General features: G+C 33.3%; 1 protein-coding gene and 1 non-coding gene across 9 annotated transcripts in view, besides 2 other annotated features; both read left to right on the forward strand.

The window, feature by feature from the left end:
- FOXP2 (forkhead box P2) overlaps positions 1-22,575 on the forward strand; it is a 607,439-nt gene that overhangs the window by 554,950 nt on the left and 29,914 nt on the right. For 5 of the 8 annotated variants that reach the window (NR_033767.2, NM_148898.4, NM_148900.4 and 2 more), the window contains 9 exons: positions 1,134-1,347; positions 3,409-3,513; positions 10,927-11,014; positions 12,650-12,733; positions 16,790-16,991; positions 18,080-18,156; positions 18,296-18,397; positions 20,789-20,910; positions 22,174-22,243. Coding sequence is in view for 6 of the 8 variants with exons in the window: in NM_148898.4 (NP_683696.2) it covers positions 1,134-1,347; positions 3,409-3,513; positions 10,927-11,014; positions 12,650-12,733; positions 16,790-16,991; positions 18,080-18,156; positions 18,296-18,397; positions 20,789-20,910; positions 22,174-22,243 (1,064 nt within the window). In the remaining 2 variants the exon portion in view is untranslated. Of the gene's footprint in view, positions 1-1,133; positions 1,348-3,408; positions 3,514-10,926; positions 11,015-12,649; positions 12,868-16,789; positions 16,992-18,079; positions 18,157-18,295; positions 18,398-20,788; positions 20,911-22,173; positions 22,244-22,575 lie in introns of those variants that run through there. The other 3 variants (NM_001172767.2, NM_148899.3, NR_033766.2) reach the window with 2 other exon arrangements.
- Positions 12,069-12,179, forward strand: MIR3666 (microRNA 3666). Its single transcript, NR_037439.1, has one exon. It is a non-coding gene; the product is annotated as a microRNA 3666 (primary transcript).
- Positions 13,778-15,042: an enhancer, noted in NCBI's record as "VISTA enhancer hs222". NCBI's record gives its function as "enhancer in: heart[3/6]" and the evidence as "EXISTENCE:transgenic organism evidence [ECO:0001131][PMID:17130149]".
- Positions 18,380-20,747: an enhancer, noted in NCBI's record as "VISTA enhancer hs956". NCBI's record gives its function as "enhancer in: midbrain (mesencephalon)[3/7] | forebrain[6/7]" and the evidence as "EXISTENCE:transgenic organism evidence [ECO:0001131][PMID:17130149]".

A 22,575-nucleotide genomic window follows, 5' to 3' on the forward strand; every position in this document is an offset into this window, starting at 1 on the left:
AATACTGTAAGCAATAGTCTCTCAATACTTTATTTCAAATTCATAGTTAAAAACTAAATGATTATATCTAGCTTTTCTATTTTTATTGTTGTATAATTCAAATAAATTTGCATAACCTGAATCAGGGAATTGTTTAAAATGAGTAGTTGATTTACTCTATCAGTCATAAATGAAGGAGAAGTTTAGATATAATCTTCTTAACTGATCCAGTTAAGTAAGCATATTGGTTTGTTTAAGACACCAAAATTAAATTTAGCTATTTAGTTCATCCCTCTGAGAAATATCAAAATGAACAGATAATTGTCAAATCTCCTATTTTTTTGAGTTGAGTGTTCACTGTTTTTCCCTGGCATTTTTGTTTTCCCTTTTATTTATTTATTTATTTTGATATTATTTTGAAATCTGTTTCTCTTTCAGTTCCTCACTGATTTAAAAACAAACCTTAATACTAGCAATAGGTAAAAACTACTCTTAAAAGTTGAATAGTTCAATTTTTATTTGTATTTATTTATTTATTTATTTTTATTTTTTATTTTTTTGTTTTTGTTTGAGAGAGGGTCTCACTCTCACCCAGGCTAGAGTGCAGTGGTACAATCTCAGCTCACTGCAACCTCTGCCTCCCAGGTTCAGGCAATTCTCCCGCCTCAACCTCCTGAGTAGCTGGGATTACAGGTATGTGACATCACACCCAGCTCATTTTTGTATTTTTAGTAGAGACAGGGTTTCACCATGTTGGCCAGGCTGGTCTCGAACTCCTGGCCTCAAGTGATTCACCCACCTCAGCCTCCCAGAGTGCTGGGATTACAGGCGTGAGCCACCATGCCTGGCCCTAGTTCAATTTTTAAATGGAACATGCAGGGATTTTTTTTTAATGCTTGATATTATTCTCAGTAATTTCATATGGCATTATTCCCCATACTATTCCCAAATTGGTACTCTTTAGAAAATAAATGATTGTTTTTCAAGACAAAAGCTTTGGTGCTGATAGTGTAAAAGTGATTTTTTGTTGTATATTAATTTATGCAGGTAACATCACTGTTGTTGTTGGTATTAATCTATTAATAACACAAAGCTCATTATATAAACTTTACCTTTACCTTGTTATGCTAGTGAAGCTTTCTTTCATTTTATAGCTGGCTTAAGTCCTGCTGAGATTCAGCAGTTATGGAAAGAAGTGACTGGAGTTCACAGTATGGAAGACAATGGCATTAAACATGGAGGGCTAGACCTCACTACTAACAATTCCTCCTCGACTACCTCCTCCAACACTTCCAAAGCATCACCACCAATAACTCATCATTCCATAGTGAATGGACAGTCTTCAGTTCTAAGTGCAAGACGAGACAGGTAAATCTCATGAGCTTTATTCTATATTTATCTATTTTCAGATTTTATTTTCACCATTGAGACAATGAAAAAGAACAATTTGTACTTGGAGCAAGGACAAAATGTATAGAACAACAGATTAGAAATCTTTAGATTATTTATCTTATTTTATATATAATATATATATATATATATATATATATATATATATTTTTTTTTTTTTTTAGGCAGAGTCTTGCTCTGTCACCCATGCTGGAGTGCAGTGGCACAATCTTGGCTCACTGCAAGCTCCGCCTCCCGGGTTCCTGCCATTCTCCTGCCCCAGCCTCCCGAGTAGCTGGGACTACAGGCGCCCGCCCCCACGCCTGGCTAATTTTTTGTATTTTTTTTAGTAGAGACGGGGTTTCACCATGTTAGCCAGGATGGTCTCTATCTCCTGACCTCGTGATCTTCCTGCTTCGGCCTCCCAAAGTGCTGGGATTACAGGCGTGAGCCACCGTGCCCGGCCTATATTCTTTATATTACAGAAAAGCAGTTCAAATACCAAAAGTTTGATGGATGTAGTTTGGGAGTTTGCCTGAAGAAATTTATTTTTTCATGAGTGCATGTGGAATGATTGTATCAATATATTTTTATGACTGATATGATTAACCTGATTGCTGAGAACATTTTTTAAGCTAAAAATCAGTTCTTTAATTTCAAATAATTAAAGATGCATGGATATCTCTCTTATATGTTTCAAACATATGAATTAGAAATCAGAGAACAGATAAATATATAAACACAAGCATAATAAGCTAGATGATGGAAAATCTGGTTTGCCTTTTTAATTGTTGCATGATGAAATAAGTAAATATATAAAGATAAATATGTTGGTAATTTTATGATTAAATTCAACTAAACTTTCAAAGAAAAATTTTTTATTTCAGTTATTAATATTAAATGTGTTATGTTAGATAATTTTTTTGATAATTTTTAACTACTGTTTTTAGTTGTATAAAAATTGCATTTGTGAAAGGAGCATTCATGTACATTTGTCCTTTAGCTCCATTTATTTAGGCATCTTGCTCTCTAATCAAGTCCTTTAAAGTAATTTGCATATAGTTCATAAACTAAAATATTGTTCAGTGTGAAAAATCTATTTTTGAAAGATGAAATGTAAGTGTAGAATTCTTAACATAATGGCTTAGGCTTATATATAGCTCCAAACTTCATATGTAAGTGTAGTGGACTGATAGTGTTCTGTTATGCAATATGAATATCTGCCTTGCCATAACAAATTCTTTGTCATAAACAAATGTTTTCCAAAGAAACAGATATTTAATTATAGTACAGTTTAAAATAAAATTCTATAATTCAGTGATGTTTCTGGCCTTCATTTGAGTATCATGGAAACTTTTTCTTGTTTGGTTTTATTAGTATAAAGTGGTATGCTCCTGAATGCTTTCATGCTGTTGTTTTAATTGAGATTAATTTGATGATTGTGTATTCCAAAACTTGGTTGATTTCTCTGGGATCTCTCTAATATTCACTTATCAAAAGTCTTCAATAATTATATAAAGATAAAGCTAATGAATACTGTTCCAAAGTAGATTTTCTAAATCAGGTGTAACTAGTAGAAATATATGTGGTTTATACATAAATATTAAACAAATTAAATGATCCTAGAGGTCCATATCTTCTTTAAAAAGAGCATTTCAAAATCTTATGATGGCTGTCCTATTATTCTCTTGAAAATAAAGGTTTTTTTCACTTGACCACATATGAATATACATTTTTTATTTAGAGATAAAATGTTACATTAAGGTCATAAGGCAGGATTAGCATATGATATTATACAGTCCTCTTAGTTTTTCATCCTTTATTAACAGTCATCTTTGGCTCTATTTCTCCTCTAATTGGAACATCATCTAGCCTTGGCAGTTGAACTATTCAATAGAACGATTAAATTTTTCTGACTGCTCTGAGCTGAATTGACCTGTTTTGACCTGTTTGTCACTGATCGTAACCTGACAGGCGCTAGCAGCCTGCAACGATTATAGCTTTTTGAGATGAATCTGACGTCGTGTTCTTTTGCTACAGCTCGTCACATGAGGAGACTGGGGCCTCTCACACTCTCTATGGCCATGGAGTTTGCAAATGGCCAGGCTGTGAAAGCATTTGTGAAGATTTTGGACAGTTTTTAAAGTAGGTTTTTTACTTTTTTTTGGTGGGGGGCGGGGGCTGGATTATATGGGCATTTTAGGCACATTGTAAATAAACAAAAGATGAAGGAGGAATGTAAAAGTCCATTATAAGTCATACTTCAAGATTTTTGTGGGTTCCAACAAGTGGATTAGTAAGATCAGGCTTCATCTTTTCATTAAGATATTTTACAAATCATTTAGTAAAGATTTTTGAATGAATGAAAAATATTAGCCTACAATAATATGTCATTAATCACTGGAGACATTTATAACAGAACTATTTATAAAATAGAATTCTCTTAAGTTTTAAGTTTCTAATTAATATTATGTGAGTCATCCTAATATATATATATATATATATATATATATATATATATATATATATATATATTTCAGTAAACATATTTTGAAAGTTCGTTTTTTAATTACAGGCTTTATATATTTTTTAAAATAGTAGTATTTAGTATATACATGTAACTACAAGAATTAAAAGTGAAAGTTTATACTGGCTAAAATTAAAAAAACTACATTTCATTTACATTGTTACTTTTTGCCCTTAGAAACATCAAGAAACACACATGGCTATATGTTTGTATAACAGATTACATGGCTTCTCTAGCTTAAAACCAAAACTTTGTGTATTCTTAATTTTTAATAGAAAATTTTATTTTTAAAAAAATCATAAGGGGTTCTTTTTCAAGTGAAAATCTTCATCTTTCATGAAATGTTTTCCTTACACAATTCTGGTGTACAAGAGATCTAAACAGAGAGCTACAGATAGGCTTATGGAGATGAGTAACTTCACAGGCTGAGACTCTTATGTTGTCATGGTGCAGCTAACAGGGTGAGTGAACTGTTTCATGCTTCATCAACAATTAAGTTAATTAGCTCATTTGAAATTGCACTGCTTTGTTGCCAGGATGTTGGCAGAAACATCAAAAAGATGTGTTTACAAATGGAAGACTGACTACAGGGTATAGAGCAAAAGCACCTTAACAACCAGGCACAAGTACTTGGCATCACAATAACTTTATAAATGAATTACAGTAAGACTTCCACAAAGATTTTTTTAACCTTTTATCATTTCTAACTAATTAAGAGAAAATTTGCTTCATATACCACTATGGCTCTTTGTAAATGGCCTTAAATGAAAATTTACACTTTTCTTTTATCAAAACAGTTGTGAGCTGCCATTTCCTTGGGTATGAAACTGATTATAAGCAAAGAGACCATTAAAAAATGTTAGGTAGCTTTGCTGAAGTTTTCTTCTCTAAAAAAAAAAAAAAAAAAAAAATTGTTAAAGCAAAGAAAGAACATAGGGATGTTATTTTAACAAATTATTTCCCATTTCCTCATGTGAATACATTAGTCCTTATCAATGTATTATTCCTTGTCATTGAAATTATGTAAAGGGCTATTGTTACATTTTTTTAAGAATGGCAAATTATGCCATAGGACTAACCCACTCACCATGCATTTTATTGCTCCAAATTGTTCTTTCTGACAAAATTCAAAATAAATCTTTAGGTGAAAAATACATATTTTCCTTCAGTATGATTTTGTTTATAGCAAATTGAAAGAAGCATTTAATTTAGCTCAAATATTTATGTTTTTATTACTGACAACCAGATGAATATGAACCCTCATTTTACCTTAAATAGTCTTCTTTCATATTCATGCCAGTGTTTTTTAAAAAACCAAAGAAATTACAATTAAAAAAGCATTTCCTTTCAATTAAATATCAACTTTGGTTCCAAAGACTGACCATTTTTCCAACCCATTAACTTTATAGGGATGACAGAACTAATGACAGGAGGTTTTAAAGCCTTTTTTTAGTCCATTTTTATTTTGATATGCTTTAGATTCACTAACTCAAAGATCTGTGATAAATTCTGTTAACAGAGCTAATGTAAGTATACTGACCGAAGTGAAATATCGATTAGATATACTTTCTGTAGTGGCATTGTCTTCTTGAAAATGTGTTAGAAATTGGAAAAGAAAGAAAATATCTCATTAAATGAATTAACTTCGGTTATTCAAAAAAAGTTTATTTAGCATCTGTGTGGGAAGTGAAAATGAAGAAGGAAAGCATAATCACTTCGACAGATTTTCTCAGAGGACTTTGTTTTCCTTTGTAATAATGGAGAAAATTGAGGATTTGGGGAGCAAAATGATAGGTAAATTAAAAAGCTGTGAAAGATTTTTAGTTCTCATTTTTTTGTGTATCCATTCTCCCTAAATTGTATATCCAGTGTTTATTATAAAAGTTTTTTAGGAAAATATTATTGTGCATTTTTAGTTCTAGTATACGCTAGAAATAAATTTTACAGCTTCGACTTTAATTTGATATCAGATAACTTATCTTTTGGTTTGAAATAAAAGGAAACCATTCATTTTTACTGTTTAGCTGACATATGTTACATTAAAAAGAATAATAGAAAATATATTGAGTCCCAAATTATTTTTTTCACATTACATCTCAAACAAACTGGTGGAATCCCTCTATTTTTATCTTGCACCAAATGAAAAGCCATTATAGGACAGTTGCTTATGTATAACACATATATATGTACCTGTATATTATATATATTTATGTATCGTATATATTTATGTGTTATATATTCTTATTCTTATATATTCTTTAATTCTTATATACTTTTTAATTGAGGCACTCTTTTCCATTGGATAAAAAAAATTCAGACTAAGTTAGAAGTAGTTATTTGTAACAGCAAGATGAAAGCAGAAAATACAAAATGATGAAGGGAGTCCAGGATAAAAAAGTGTTGAGGAAAATTTTTGAGTTTTAGTGTAAAGTAGGTGTTGACAGAAGCTAACCATTTTTCCTGACCACTAATTGAGTATCTCACTAGATCACTAAAAGCATTTAATACTAGTTCTTCATTACTGTCTTATAAATGTCAAAGAGTAATAACATCTGACAAAACTTTAGAGTAGTTTGTCTGCAAAATTAATTATCATTCCATTGGAACTAAGTCAGCTTGAATATAGATGAATTGACTTTTAGAGCTTAAGCCAAAAGGTTTACAATATAACATTCCATTTAGCAGACAAGTGTTCTTGAACCTGCAAGCATAGATGCCAACACACAAAACATGGTCTGAGATACAAAGGTGGAAATACTCTCCTTTAAGAAAGGCAGGATGGCTAGTGTCTATAAAGATATTAATGTATTAAAGATTAATTAGTAGATGGGTGTAAATGAGTTAAATTTATTACAGACTAAATTTTTAAGGCTTGATACTATATGAAGAGCAATAGAAAACAGTGGAAACAGAGTAGTTTATTTAATAGAAATTTGTCTTCTTTTTCATTGCAGCTGACTACTCTAAAAATTATGCTCTTACTTAATGTGTATTGTCTATTTCTTTGTCTTTGACTAGGCAGCATGGCTACAAAATTATGACCTCAAGAAGGCATTCTTTGAACTTGTCAGAATGTTGTTTCTTTTGGTGACAGTGCCCCCCCATCTCTGAAAACTAAGGCATCTCACATAATCAACTAAATGAATAGTGACAGCTAACATTTTGTATTTAAACTCCTGTCAGTGTTTAAACATAAAAAGCTTGATGCAAAATAAATCAAACACCAGTGATATGCAAGTGAAACATTTTGTTAAAACAGTCTTTGACATACTTGGATTTAAATCTGATCCCTTTTTAGCTTATAAAATGCTACAACTTTAAATGAATATGAAAAATCCAGAGGTTAAAATTGAATCACTAATCTGGATTGTATATAATTGAAGTTACCACTTACATTCATAATCATCTATAAAACCTTCATTAAAGAGAATTATGCATTAAATAAATTGGAAGGATCCTTTCCTACTTTTTGTCTTCCTGAAGTGCTTGCTTAATTGTTTTTAGAAAGAATTTGACTGCTTATTATGTATCTAGTTGATACTACCTACCTAACACACAGATTCAATGCAGTTTTGAAAGAACGTCAGTCGACCACATCATTTATTCCATTTTGAAAACAAAAATCAATATACCTATAAAGTGACCCATAAATTAGAATTGGCTCACACAATGTTTGTTCAGTGCTGCCTTTCTGAAGGCACCCTTTGCATTTTTTCTTCACCTCTCTGTTTGAACTGCAGTCTCGGTAAGAGGCTCATTAGGGGACATTAGGGACTGGAGCTAACCAGAATTCCAGAGCTTGCTTTGCTCTTATTAATGCATAGTAGAGTAGAATGCATTTAAATATTTCATAGGCATTCAGTAATTTGTGTGTAATCGCCTTGTTAGCAGACCAGTAGAAGTAGAACAGGCCTGTGAAATGGTGTTAGTGATTGCATGGGTAATTTACAGACCTTTGCCATCAGAAAAAGTATTATTGTTGGCTAGTATGAAGCTGTGAAATAGAACTACCAATAAGTAAAAAAAGAAACTTAATAAAGGTTTTGTAACAAGCATCTTCAGGGATAACAACCCCACTTGGTCCTTTTGAAGCAGCCGTAATTTATGACATAGGCAATATATCAAATGCATAAGATAGTATTATGGAGCATTCATATGAAAAGGGTATTTGCAACATTAGTTCCAACTTCCTGCAAGGGACATGATTAAATGATTAATGAAATGTCCCTTTGCATATGCATTTTGAAACAGCAATTAGGCACTGACTGAGAAAATCCACCAATCCTCTCATTTTTCAGTATTATCTCATTCTTGATTTATAAATCATAGAGAATTTTTGAACAGTAATATGTAGTACCTGAGATAGTTATAAAAACATAAAAGAGAATAATTTCGGCACAAAATAGTCATAAATTCATAAATTCATAATTTAATGTTAATACTTAGCCTATTTATTTAGTCTTATTACATTGTATTTATATCTGACACTATTTCTGTACTTTGATTGGCATAATTAAGTAGAGGGAATGAATAGGCACTATTCTTTTACATATCACTGGTAAACAATAGCGAGGAAAGGAGAAGGGAGATGTGGCAGAGGTATGTATGTGTTTTTCAAGTTCTCAGTAATCCACTGGAGGCTGTTCTATAAATGATCATTGAAGGGCTGCAAGCTAGCCTATAATTACAGGAAAGAAAGTGGCAGCTCTGGCATTTCATAACTATGTGTCCTCGAAAAGTGCTTTGTGAGTTTGTCACCAATGATAATTTAGATAGAGGCTCATTACTGAACATCACAACACTTTAAAAACCTTTCGCCTTCATACAGGAGAATAAAGGACTATTTTAATGGCAAGGTTCTTTTGTGTTCCACTGAAAAATTCAATCAAGACAAAACCTCATTGACTATTATTGTAGTCTACAGTCTCTATTCTAATAAAAGCTGCATAGATAAATTGAATAGGGCTCTAAGACCCAAGTATATAAAGCAAACATTTTGTACTTTTTTTAGTTCTTTAAATATAAGATCATGATTATCACTAAGCAGTAAACAAGTGTAGAAAATCATTTTAAAAAGTGATTTCACAAGAAAATGTTATAGTGACTATGCCTTTTATTGCAGACCTGTATGTTCTACTTATCTTGCTTCCTGCATTTACACCCTAATCTCAGTGTATAACTGAAGCATTTTTGAAAATATGCAACATTTTTTCTTATATGGAATAAATATGTTTGTGTTCCCCAAGAGTTCATGGTGAAAAAAAAAAAAATCTTACGGAAACACAGCAATATGAAGCCTTAAGAATACAACACACAACTGTATTATGCTGGTAGAAAATTGTCTTACTGTTCATTTAAATTTTGGGGGAAAAAACCCTGGGAAACAATTTTTAAATGTAGTCTTGTTATTTAGGAATTGGTGACACTTTCTGTTAACTAACCTCTGGCTTACTCTCACATTCCATACCTCCTTCCCAGAGAGCATGAGTGAATGTTAATCCTCCTCACAGGTTCACAGCAGAACAAACCTGAGCTGAGCTTAGAGAGCAGACAGGTATAGTGGAAGTGCCTCCCCTGCACTCCAGCCACACTCCTTCAGCTTGACCTTATCCACCTTGCTATTTTAGTCCACAGTTTCTCTTCAACCAAGACTGACATTGTGACAAGATACATGGAGGTTTTGTTGTTATGATCAATAAGGAAGTATTAAAACAAACTGGTTTAATTTATCAAGGTATAGGCAAAACAAAGGTTTCTGATTGTTGAACCTAGGTATATAAACAAATAAACCTTTTGTTTATAATAAAATTAGTTTTTATCAGCAACACGACTTTAATTACTCTTCATATGTTTTACATGTATGTGTCTTATATTTTTTCTGCCTCACTGTGATCTTCAAGAAATAAAAGTAAATAATTTGAATGGATACAAAAATATATTTGTTGAATTCAGTATACCCAGGGCTATTATAAACTTTTTAGACTATTATATCATTCTAAATGATACTTGAGCCCACTTGGGTAAATATATAAATTCTTATTTAATTTTGTGAATTTCTTTTCAATATGCCATTTCACTTATATGCAATGATGAGAACATCTCTGAAATTGTTGCCTTACTTTGCCCATTGGTGAAATAGATACACTAAAGGATATTGAATTACTTGAAGATTACTTTCTTTAATTTTGGGAAGCATCAAAGACATTATGTATTACAAATTACAGAGTATATATTATTAAATGTTTTCATGTTCATTGGAGATGCTGCTTTACTAAATTACTTTTGGTGTATTAACATACCACTCATTAAAGAGATCTCTTTAAACATCGTATAGAAATAATAATGGTAGACTAATGCATATTCAAGGTTAGAGTGAGATCATTTGGAATGATTTATTTTTCACCATTTTAAAAATAAGATTAGGACAAATGTCTCCTAGTTAGAACACTGGACATGAAATGTCAATCTTGTTATTCTAATGATCAAAATCTTCAATGAAGTTCTTTATTACTAACAGCAAATCATCATTCTTCATAAATATTGATTTTCCACGGGAGATAATTTGCCATCTTTACCTAATTCATACCACATCCCAATGAAATAAAACATTGCTCACTAAAATACATCATAGAAACAACAAACTGTTCTAACAATGAAATAGAAAATTGCCTTTGTTCTCTTCAGAATTGCTTTTGGTTCATAGATTTGTAAGCTGTTCTTTTTAAAAAAATGGCATAAATAATATGACTTCTACTATAACTCTGTAAATGGTCTGGGGAAATATTTTTTGTAATAACAGGTAAGCTTAGAGACAGTGACATTTTCTGCCATTTGAAGAGTCTCTTTACATTACATAAATAATTTTCACACAACACGTAAGCAGCTTTAACTTTTATCTGTATGGTTTCAAGGCTTTCTGTTTTCCCAGTGCACAGAAACATCTGACTTCAGTGTAGTGCTTTTTAAGTGTAGCCTATGCCACTAAGATCGACATCACTTTACATTCTGTTTTGTGTCTTCTGTTTGTTTAGGCACCTTAACAATGAACACGCATTGGATGACCGAAGCACTGCTCAGTGTCGAGTGCAAATGCAGGTGGTGCAACAGTTAGAAATACAGGTTTGTTAAATGCTCACTTAATGGACTCTTCTTAGATTTCTGGTGTGTTACATTGAGTACTGAGCAGATTCTGGGTCTTTCAGCCTGCATTTTACTGTCTTAGCCATTCAATACTAATGGAGATACATGATATTTTAGATTGTTTTAAACAGTGGCAATTATTGATAACCCAGGAAGGATTGCTGTAGTTTAATGTACTTATCACTTATATTTTTATAACTTTTAGACCACATCATATGAATTTGAATATCCCAAAGTAGTCAGATCTAAGTTTTTCCCAATGCAGGTTAGACCAAACTCCCAATTAGATATGATTTTATTACAGAGAGAGTTTTTACATGAGCTAACCTTGATTTTTTTCCATGAGATTTTATATTGTGGCAAATGACCAGTCTTTACAATATCATGCCTGTAATATAACTAACACCCTGAAAGATAACCTTTTCTTTTCTTTTTCTAGTGTAATTTTAATTAAAGAACTTGCAAAAAAATCTTTATACTTTTCTTTAGCTAGATTAAAGGCAGATAATTTATATCACAGATGATAATACACACATGTTGTATCAAATGCGACTGTTTTAAGTTAAAAAAAATTCTATTAATGTTGAAACAGAATTTGGCCAGAAGTAAATAGAATCCATAGAACTAATCAGAAAGCAATTATGTCACCCAAAGTCTGACTCTTGTTATGTTTTACTAAGCCTTTAAGGCTTTCTCTAACATTTCATCTTAAAGATGATCTTTTCTCAATGAAACTAATACTTTGTTTCATTTAAAGATACGATTTTTCTTCATATTTTATTACATCTTGTTTCAAATTCGTGTCATTGCTTTTTTCAGAGAGCTTACTAAAAATATTTTGTTTTGACTTGTAAAATAATCAAGAACACAAAAAGCACCATCACTGTTAAAGTTTAAAAAGCTTTTTATAAACCTGTTTACCATTTATAAAAGGTAGACTAAAACATAAGAGTTCAGCTGATGATACAGTCTTCGGTGTGACCAATTACGCCTATTTTTTTTTTTTCCTTCTGCTGTGTCTGACTGATGGAAAAGTAAGGTCCGTCAGTTGTAATGAGACCCAGTGCAAGTGTAGATGCCGACTCCGTGGCAGAGTTCAGCGTTTCACACTGCCTGGTCTCTGTCACTCTATTGAATTAGATTGATGATGGCAGATTGCAGGGGGCACTAACTGGACCTCAGTGGGAATGCATGAAGTGTGTAGACAATCCTGGCAGGCACTTTGCTTTGAGAACCCTTCACCCCTTCACAGCTGTTGGCACTAGTCCATTGCTAACAGTGTCCACAGGACTTTAAAGAGACACCATGGGCCTTCTAATTTATGGTTTCAGTAACTTGTTACTGTCGAGGCAACTGTGACCTCAATTCTCTTATTGACAAAAAGATGAAGTGTTATTTGTTTTCTCTGACCTTTTAACATAAGAAAAGCTATAAAAGTTTTTCCCCCTCCATAGCTAAAGTTGCATTTCCTCCCAGATAAGTTCCTCCTGACGCAGACTTTTACATGCAGGAATCATTATTCTGAGGCAAGCTCAATGATAAGATGTATCACTGCAATAAAATAGCTGTATCAGTCATTTCTAAAACGCTTCTGATCTCACTCTTTCTTAACAGCTTTCTAAAGAACGCGAACGTCTTCAAGCAATGATGACCCACTTGCACATGCGACCCTCAGAGCCCAAACCATCTCCCAAACCTGTAAGTGCATATTGCTTTATAAACAGTAAATAGCTCTACCAATGTAACAGACTAAGAAAATGAACAATTTAGTGACAGTTAGAAAACAATGAGTGTGATGAAAAATACGGCAATAAAATGAAAGTAAAATGTAATCGCTTGTCAAATTGTATGTTTCTTTTAAAGTAATGCTATCTTTTACAAAATCTATCCAATCTACACCATGGGTGACACTAAACAAAGTACACCTATCAGTGCACAAATCACTGCCTTGGGGCTGAAGCCAGAGAGAATTTCTTTCTGTGATAGGTTTACAGATATTAAAAGGAAACCCTCTTTGAGCAACCTGAAAAGTAGTAACGTACAAATCACAAATAGAAATGTATGTGGTGTGCTGAAGAAGGCAGATCAATCATAAGATACATATAAATAGATTTTTATCAAATATTTTGTCATAAAGGTCATGGTATTTTTATAGCCAATTTTGTCCTATTTCTTTGGTTATTTCAGTTAAGATGTATTTCACATATTGATATGTTTTATTGTACATTATACATAATGTTAATTTAGAGAGCTTATCACAAAAAGAAGTGGGTGATTATAGAAAATTAAGACTAGTTTCCCTCAAAAATATATGAGATTTAAGCTCAACCTAATAATGTAGTCAGATACACAGACTGTTGAAAAGAATATACTTTATCTCATTCAGCTGATGTTTGCACAGAAACTTAGAGTAATCAACTGGGTAACTCTAGTTTAATGAAAGTTTGTGGGATACTTTTTAATAAGGCCCCTGTATAGCCTGATGATTAATGATTGCCAGTCTTGCCTCTCCCTCTATTTCTTTAGGTAAAAAACGAACATTTGGCTTTGTAGTTGGGGAGGAGACAGAAGACGACTATATTGTCTAATTTTCTCGTAATGTCTCGATATTTCTTATCAATTAATATCATTCAAAATTTACTTTTTTGGTAGAGATTATATTTAAACTCTGCTAAGCTATTTCTGCTTTTCCTTTGTACTGTATTTAAAGGTAGAGTACTGTAAAAACATTTTTATAGGAAGAAAAAAGACATGTATCTTTTTGAATCTGACATACTACTTTTTAAACTCTAAAATGTCTGAGTTTTTAATTAAAAAATAAACTTTTGAGGATATTTTTGATCATGTATTTATGACTATCTTTTCAATAAGATTTTTTCCCTCATTGCTTCTATAGTATAATGTAGATAATCACAAGACAGAATAATTGTCTCATAAATCCATCAGGAATCTGCAGCTTGTTCTTTTCCAATTAATTATTCAATCAGTAAATTTTTTAAAACTCCAGCAGCATGGTTACATCTACACTAATAAAGAATTTTCAGCCTATAATCCAAAACAGAACCTGAATGAATAATGTAATTGAAGTATTACATTACATAAACCACACATGAAAGAATTGCTAATTGCGTTTGATGGTGGGCAATTAATACAGAATCTTAGATGAGCGATTTAAAATGAAACCACAGTTTAAAGTTCCCTTTGGAACTAGCGATATCTGAAGTGAGGAACTGCACTATTGGCCTCAGATCGGTTTGAAAGAAGAGTGGTCAATACTCACAACCCTCAAAAAAACCCTAAAATTTATACACTGTACAAAAGAAGCTTCAAAATTGATATGATAGTAGAGATTTATGGTCTCATGTGCAGTGGCTCAGTTGAGACGGCCCACACATTTGATAAATATTAATAGCATGAATTTATTACCAAGGAGAAATGAGCTCTGTTGGTTCATCACTGCACCCTTAACAGCTATCAGTACATGAACACAAGGTGCAACCGCACTGTCTATTATATGACCCCATTTACTCTCTGAATGGTACTTCATTAAATGGTACCTTTTGGCCATGCTATGGATGGATGAAAATCAAAGTTATCAAGGCTGCGAGTCCTGAATAATGAGTTTCACCCAACCTTGACTATATTCAGATGAGTCGAGGTGGCTAAGTGCTCATCCTAGCTTTTACATGCTTCCCTTTAGTTAATAATAAATTCTATTTTATCAGTTTGTGATTGTACGCCTACAAACATGGTATGCTTATTATTACAGGATAGCAGAATAAGTTACCGTAACATTGTAAACATGAGTGGTTTGCATTGAAAAAGATGTATTTCTCCTGTTTTGATAACTTTTAATGTGTTGGTAAAATGTACAGAGTCCTGTCACATATTCATCAGGATAGATATTTCATTGATTTGCAATTTGGTATTTTCTGGGTTCTGAATGTGCCATTTTGTTCTGGTTTGCAATTCTAAAAGTGAATATGTAACCATCCAGCTGAGTTTTTTTTTTTTATGTATGGGGAAATACTTTTCTTTTCTTTTCATATTTTTAACATACAAGTATGTAATGCTGATATTTTCTAAATATAACATTGTTATGTATATGTTCTGATGTTGATATTTTAGAATATTTGCAAAGTCACATACAGATGCATATGGATGTTTCTGCGTTTCTCAAACTATGCAGAGGTGCTCTTGTACATCCCAGAGAAGCTTACACCAGTGGCTTTGTAAATGTATTAAATGCAGCATTTAGGAGCATTATCTCAGCTTTCATTTATGTACGTAACAAAGAATTCCCTACCCAGTCTGCTGGCTTAGAGTATGAACAGAATAACAGTTTGTGGTTTATTGGGAACAGATGCACTTGGGGATGCCTTCAGGGTGCCAGTCGTTATTATTAGACTGCTAATGTGCTTCTTCTGGCTGCTGCCCAAGAAAGAAGAACAATTAGCTGGCATATGTTAATTTTTGTTTCCCTAACAAATCTCTCTACTGACTAAATGTGTAAAACAAATCCACAAAGAAAGATCAATCAATGCTGTACACATCATTTTCTCCCCATTAAAAAAAGGTTTATCTTAAGAAGTGTATTTGGGATTTAAAAAGACAGGTGTTACTAAATTATAAACAAAAGCTGAATATTCTCTATTTAGCCACTCAGCAGTTACTTTATAGAGAAACAGAACAATTAGAATTAGTTTTCTTGCTTGGTTGTATAGCCTACTGTATAAAGTAAAAAGGACCACAGATTACCTCTTGTGAATACCATTTAAATGTATGGCAGAAATCTTTTTATGTGCTGCCCTGCGTAAAAATTTTGCTAATTGGATGCTATTTATGACAAAAGATGTGTGGTAAATATGACAGAGGTGATATGAGTTTTTTGATAATGAAGAACAGGGCCTTTCTGAGGGGAGTAATGAAGGGCACACTGTTAAACAGCTTGCATACATTCTCACCTTTTTTCTTTTTTCTACCCTGACACCCACTTTCCAGGGTACATCAGCATTAAGTGACACTGTAATCATAAATTGAAAATGATACTTCCAGAGGAATTGGCAAACTTGACATTTCATTATATTTGTTAACACATGCCACAAATGATTGTTAGTGAGGAAATTCCATTTCCCTCTCTCCATCTCCAATCAGATTTAATTTGAAAATTTTCAGCCTCCTCCGGCTAATTTGCAATTAAGACAATTTTGTTTGAATATGTAGTAATGTCATTACCATTCCACCAAATTAGCAAGGAGACTAAAGGTCAGTGTAAAATTTTCCAGCTGGCTGGAGCCTCTCAGCTGAGATTTGGGACTACGAAAAAAAAAATTCTGGCATCAACAGAATAGCAACTTACTTTAAATCCTATTGGTTAAAAACATTGCATCCTTCATTATTGCTGTTGTTGTTGCTTCACTGGGGGCTAGACCTGTTTAACAACAGGGGCAGTCGATAATCAGCAACTGGCTTTTATTTAAGGAAATAGACTTTCGCTGAAGTCTGGTAGGACAAGAAGGAGTTAGTCCTAAGTAACATTGCAGTAGATTATTAGATAACCTCTAACAGAATCCTCTAATTAGAGTTCTTATGATACAATTTCATCCTGTAATTAGTTGAGATTGGCTGCTTCCTTTTGCAGCTTATTAGTGGCAACACAGCTGTAGAAGTGAATCCACTCTCATTTGTCAAACCTTTTTAAGTCTTTTTCTCTTGTCTCTACCTTTTTCCTGCCCTTCTCTTGGGCCTTTGCAGCTAAATCTGGTGTCTAGTGTCACCATGTCGAAGAATATGTTGGAGACATCCCCACAGAGCTTACCTCAAACCCCTACCACACCAACGGCCCCAGTCACCCCGATTACCCAGGGACCCTCAGTAATCACCCCAGCCAGTGTGCCCAATGTGGGAGCCATACGAAGGCGACATTCAGACAAATACAACATTCCCATGTCATCAGGTAGGATATGAATGCTCAGTAGAGCACTTTTACTTTGGGAGAGGAAAACTGTAGCTGAATCAACTGTACATGAGCCATTCCAGAGCACATGGAAACTCATGTCATGATTTATGGAGTGATAATTGTTTTATTCCTGGTAAATGCGAATAGGGGCGATTCCCTAAGCACATCATGATGAATTGTTCTGAATGGTTGTTCAGGAAAGAAAGCTCTCCCCATTAGAGACACTGAGAGATGTCAGGATAGCCCATATTATCACCTCAATTCAATGAGATCCTTTGATCTCTGAGGGAAGACTAGCAATCCAACATCTGTGAGTAATGCTGTAGAGAAGAGCCATTTTAAAGGACATATACGAAACACCGTTGCTTTATGCAAGACAGTTCGAGGTTTACATGAATCAGTCTTTATCAAGGTGCTACCTAAATGAAATCCTGTCACAGCTCCTAATGCCGATATGGCACTTTGCTTAAGAAGCATTGTGAGAGGCAAACTTTGCATTTGCATGGAACACAAATTTACCTTCTTTCCCTCTCTTACCCTTCTCCCTTCTCCCTTCTCCCCCACCTGCCATCCCTGGGGCATCTGGATAATCACAGTCACACATTGTAACCATTATTAGCCCAGAGCCCCCTCTTTACAAAAAGTGAAGTTATTTTCAACATGGGTGCTTGGTGAGGGTTTTGTGTTTCCTTTGTTAGATGGCCACAGATGCAGAGGTGAGCCTGTTGTACTTTAAGACGTATTAGATGAGAGAAGCAAAGATTATAGCAGGGGGGCAAAAGTCCATGTAAGAATATGCCTAAACTACCCACTTTAAAGAAGACCTGGCTATTGGAAAAAAATCCTCAGGCCAGCAGGTCGCACAGTTCCTGAAGTACCACGAACAACTAGGGGATGCTTCATTTGCACTTCGCGTCAGAAATGGCCTTTTCCATATAATTCAATTCCACTGTCATGCTTTGTGCTTTCACTAGTCGGTGGCTTCCTCACTGAATCACTTTACCAATACTAGAGGAAATATGAAAATTCAATTATATATAATGTGAATTATTAGCAGAATTAACACCTAGTTTTTATTTTTATAGAAATTGCCCCAAACTATGAATTTTATAAAAATGCAGATGTCAGACCTCCATTTACTTATGCAACTCTCATAAGGCAGGTAAGTAGAAGGAAAATTAACTTTGCCTGATTAAATTAAAATTCATTAATGCTTAAAGTAAGGCTTGGATGAGAAAGTGTCATCTAGTCTAGTTAGTAAACCATTATTTTATGTCACTATGTATCTTGTCTCATTTCAGGCTATCATGGAGTCATCTGACAGGCAGTTAACACTTAATGAAATTTACAGCTGGTTTACACGGACATTTGCTTACTTCAGGCGTAATGCAGCAACTTGGAAGGTAACTACTTTTCCAGCAGTTTTAAGATGCCTACCACAGTTCCTTACAGATAGCACAAGGAACATTTATTTACATGACATAAGCAGATTAGTATCTGCTTCCCCTCTTTTTAACCTGCCTCTTGAATGGAATGAATTCCCTCTCTCAAAATGACAAGTGAAAGAATAATTTTGCCTCTGATATAGTTTTCTAATTTGGTGCAATTAATAGCTGAGGCTTGGCAGAGAAACGAGGGCCTGACACACTAATTACAGTGTGAGCACTCAATCATCAACACCTTTGTTAGTCGCACGATATTACTTTTTCTCTTGCATATTATTGGCTAATTAGTTTGAAAAATGTCTGTTTGGCTTGTGCAACAAATGGAGGCTGTAGGTTTTGTCTTGGTCTGCGCCTTTTGTACACATCATACCTCATCATACAGACTGAAGCTGCCACGGGAGTGAGGGCCATGGCTACTCAGCTGGAACTAAAAGAAAGTAAAGTGAATATTATCCTGTCAGAACATAAATGCAGTTTATTTACTTAGACAAAAGGGTTCATCTATATCCCTGTCCAAACAACTTCATTGTCTGAATCTTACAAGGAGCTAAAAAAAATGTTAGTTCTATGCATCTATTTTTGGAAAAGAGCAACGTCTGGAAAGATAAGGGCACTCAGCACAGACTAAGTGAACTGTTTTATTTTCATTTCAAAAAGCAGTCAGAAACATCAATTAGCCACAAGCCATTTGGTACAAAAGGGGAAAATGTTTGTAGCTGAGAAGAATAGAAGCAGCAAAGCACTCATCAGCATACTGAGAATTTTAGACTGTGAGATATGCTAAAGTGAATTAATTTGGATTTAAAATGCAAATTAATCTGGCAAGCGATTACAGATATATGGGTGTGAGACTCAGAATGCTTTTAATTTACAAAATGTTTAGATGTTATTAGTTGCTACAGTATGTGGTACTGTAAATGAATGTAATTGTTTTATTTATGCACAGTTACTTGGTATATATTTTATATGATGAAAATGTCAGCAATAATCTGTGCAATATATGTTTTGGAGGGTTTTCAGTAAGTAATATTTATGTTGAAGATTTACATTTTCTTTTGTTACTCATTAGATAATGTAGTGAATGTTCTGTCATTTGATTTACTGAAAGAAATTTTAAAAGAAATGAAAGATGATTTAATATCTTAGCTTGGTCTCATCTCCACAGCTCGGGGATCCAGCAAAACTCATTCTGAACAGCTTATTAGTTCTAACTATATCGCATGCATAATAAAACTGCTCATTTGCTCATTAATATTAAAATTATCATATTCAGAGCCATGGGCATTAAGATCAATCAAATCCTTGGATTTCAGGTCAGATGCTAGATCTGCTTATGCTTTTTTTTTTTTTTTAAGAATTCTTCTCTTAAAGCAAGCTAGAAGCAGCTTGTCTTTGTGCAAATAGAAAGAAATCTTCATCAAAATTACTTTGTTTTATATTCGTAATATAAGAATTAGGTCATTTCTGAGTACTTGATAGCTATATGCCAATGTACCTTGACAGGAAGAAATATTTGCTTAGGTTTATAATTTGAATTATGGAAAATACTCGATGTAAATTATGTGGTCTACTGTATATTTATTATAGCTAAAATTTTAGGAATGACTTAATTTGATTTAAAAATGTTAATTTTGAGTAATTACTCTAATACAAAGCTGCCAACAACATCTGTTTGCATAATCATTATGGGAAGAAAATGTACTCTCGGGTTCCAGCAACGACTTTCAGTTGAGTTTAACATTTACAAAAACTTTATTGGGAATTTAAAAAAAATCTAAGTGTGTCTTATTGTGCAGGCAGAACGTTACACTGTAACTTGCATATGTCATCTAATAATACAGAATAAACAAACTCTGTCATTTCATTATTATAGGGATGAAAAGAATGCCTTTGAGCTTATTTGCATAAAGCTTTGTGCAAAATTAACACTTGTCACTGTAGCCTTTTTAGCATTTTAATACCTCAAGCAGGACTGGTTCCTTTGGACATTTCAACCATCCCTGAGTGCTTGATCAGGGACACAACAGAGCTGACCTAATTGTTCTGGCATTTTCAAAGATACTGTAATTTGTACAGATATTGCAATTTAGACCAGTTCAATGAAAGGAAGGTTTTGACACAGCTATTATTAAAATAGCTTGGAAGGTTCTCTTATCACAAAGTTCAAACTGCAGATTCCAGTAATTTGTAAGTTTGAGGTTTGTAATATCATGCCATATTTTGATTTTAATACTTAAACATGTTAAGATTTTTCACTCTGATTAAGTAAGATCAATAATGTAGTATGTTGGGCTGCCTTATTAGACAATATTATTTTTGCCATTTTTTCTTCTCTTCTGTCTGCTTTAGAATGCAGTACGTCATAATCTTAGCCTGCACAAGTGTTTTGTTCGAGTAGAAAATGTTAAAGGAGCAGTATGGACTGTGGATGAAGTAGAATACCAGAAGCGAAGGTCACAAAAGATAACAGGGTATGTTTGTGATAGTTTTGTAATCCTGTATCCTGCATCCACCAGGAAAAGTAAATACTTTAAGTTGGGGCTGGGGTGGGGAGACAGTTAGCTTAATGGCATGCTAACATTCTCGTGGCAATGAACTGCATTTTGAATCTAGGTGTAGGTGGCATAAATCAACAGTAGCCTATCAATTTTTTCCGTAAAAATCATCACAGGACTGTTTTGGTTACTATTTTCATCAATTCAGCATTTCTACGTGTATCAAAAAATTGTTTTTCAAGATGGAACATGCTTTCTAGAGAGAGAGAGACACTTCCTGTTTTTATACAATACAGTAGCTTCCAGTAGAAGCTAAAAGGCTTTTTAAAAATGAGGCTAATTTTGCATATACTGGTAATCCTGAAAGTACCTTTTTATGAAGAATTTATGAGAAGACTTTATAAAAAAATAAGGCTATTTCTTTCTCAAATACTCTCATTTTCCAAGACAAACTTTATCATTTGGACCTACCTTGCTTTTACTCCAACTGTGATGGTTTTCTGTACAGTGCTGTTGAGATGACCAAGGTATACTAGTGTGAGAAAATTACTGGCTGGGAAGTTTGAATTTTGTTTGTTTTATAGAGAACAAGACTGCCAAACTTAAGTCCAAAATATAGTAAAACACATTTTGTGCTTAATTAACTCCATGTAGAATTTACTTATTCCCCCAAACTTCTACTGCCTAATATGAAGAGATGACTTTAATGTATTTTATCTACTATTGGCCCTTGACTTTTGATTTCTATAGTCAAGTATGTGCTAATATCTGCATTCAAGAAATAGTTAATCTATTATGTTGTCATTTAATTAACTATGGTAATTTGTTATGTTAATTCATGGTGTTCTAGAAATTAACCATTAATTATTTCCTGATTGCATCAAATTGGTAATTGTATTGTATATTTACATTTTAAAAATTTTGTATGAATGTTGCTGTTCTTGCAAATGAAACCTTCACACAACTAGAAACAGGTTTAAGGATCCTCAAGGTCATGTCTCACTTTGCCTGCACACCATAGTCTAAAGTTTCATTTCTTATATTCCTGGATCAAGTTAATATGTATTATGTAAAGGGTTATATATTTGAACTCTATTACCTTATTTTTGTGGCCTTATATACATCCAGTATGGACTATTAGTGTGAGACAAGCCAGAACATACCTTTATAGCTGAGACTATTGATATCCACGTTTTATATTTTGACGTATAAATGATCTTTATATATTTTTTTTTTCAGAAGTCCAACCTTAGTAAAAAATATACCTACCAGTTTAGGCTATGGAGCAGCTCTTAATGCCAGTTTGCAGGTAATGTACTTTCCCAGTTTTGTTGTATTTGAATGTTTAGGGCTTTTTTTTTTTTTTTGGCATGTCTTTGTATTTAGGTGAGATTGTGATTGTTCTTAATAGTTGGTTTATCATCCAAGTTGTAGTACCTAGTACTATAGACAGCACTGGTTCTAATTCAAGCTACTTTTGATGTGAAGAAGCAAGAAGGACACCCTGTGGCAAAATCTGGAACATTCGGTTTTTCTGCAAATGCTAGATTGATAGAAGCTTTTGCAAGTGCATGTGGCTATGCATTAATATTTATCCAGGCTGTCATAAATGATTTCACATCATAGTGTTGGGGAACATGG

The sequence above is a fragment of the Homo sapiens genome, chromosome 7 (genome assembly GCF_000001405.40).
Source record: "Homo sapiens chromosome 7, GRCh38.p14 Primary Assembly".
NCBI classification, from domain to species: domain Eukaryota; kingdom Metazoa; phylum Chordata; class Mammalia; order Primates; family Hominidae; genus Homo; species Homo sapiens.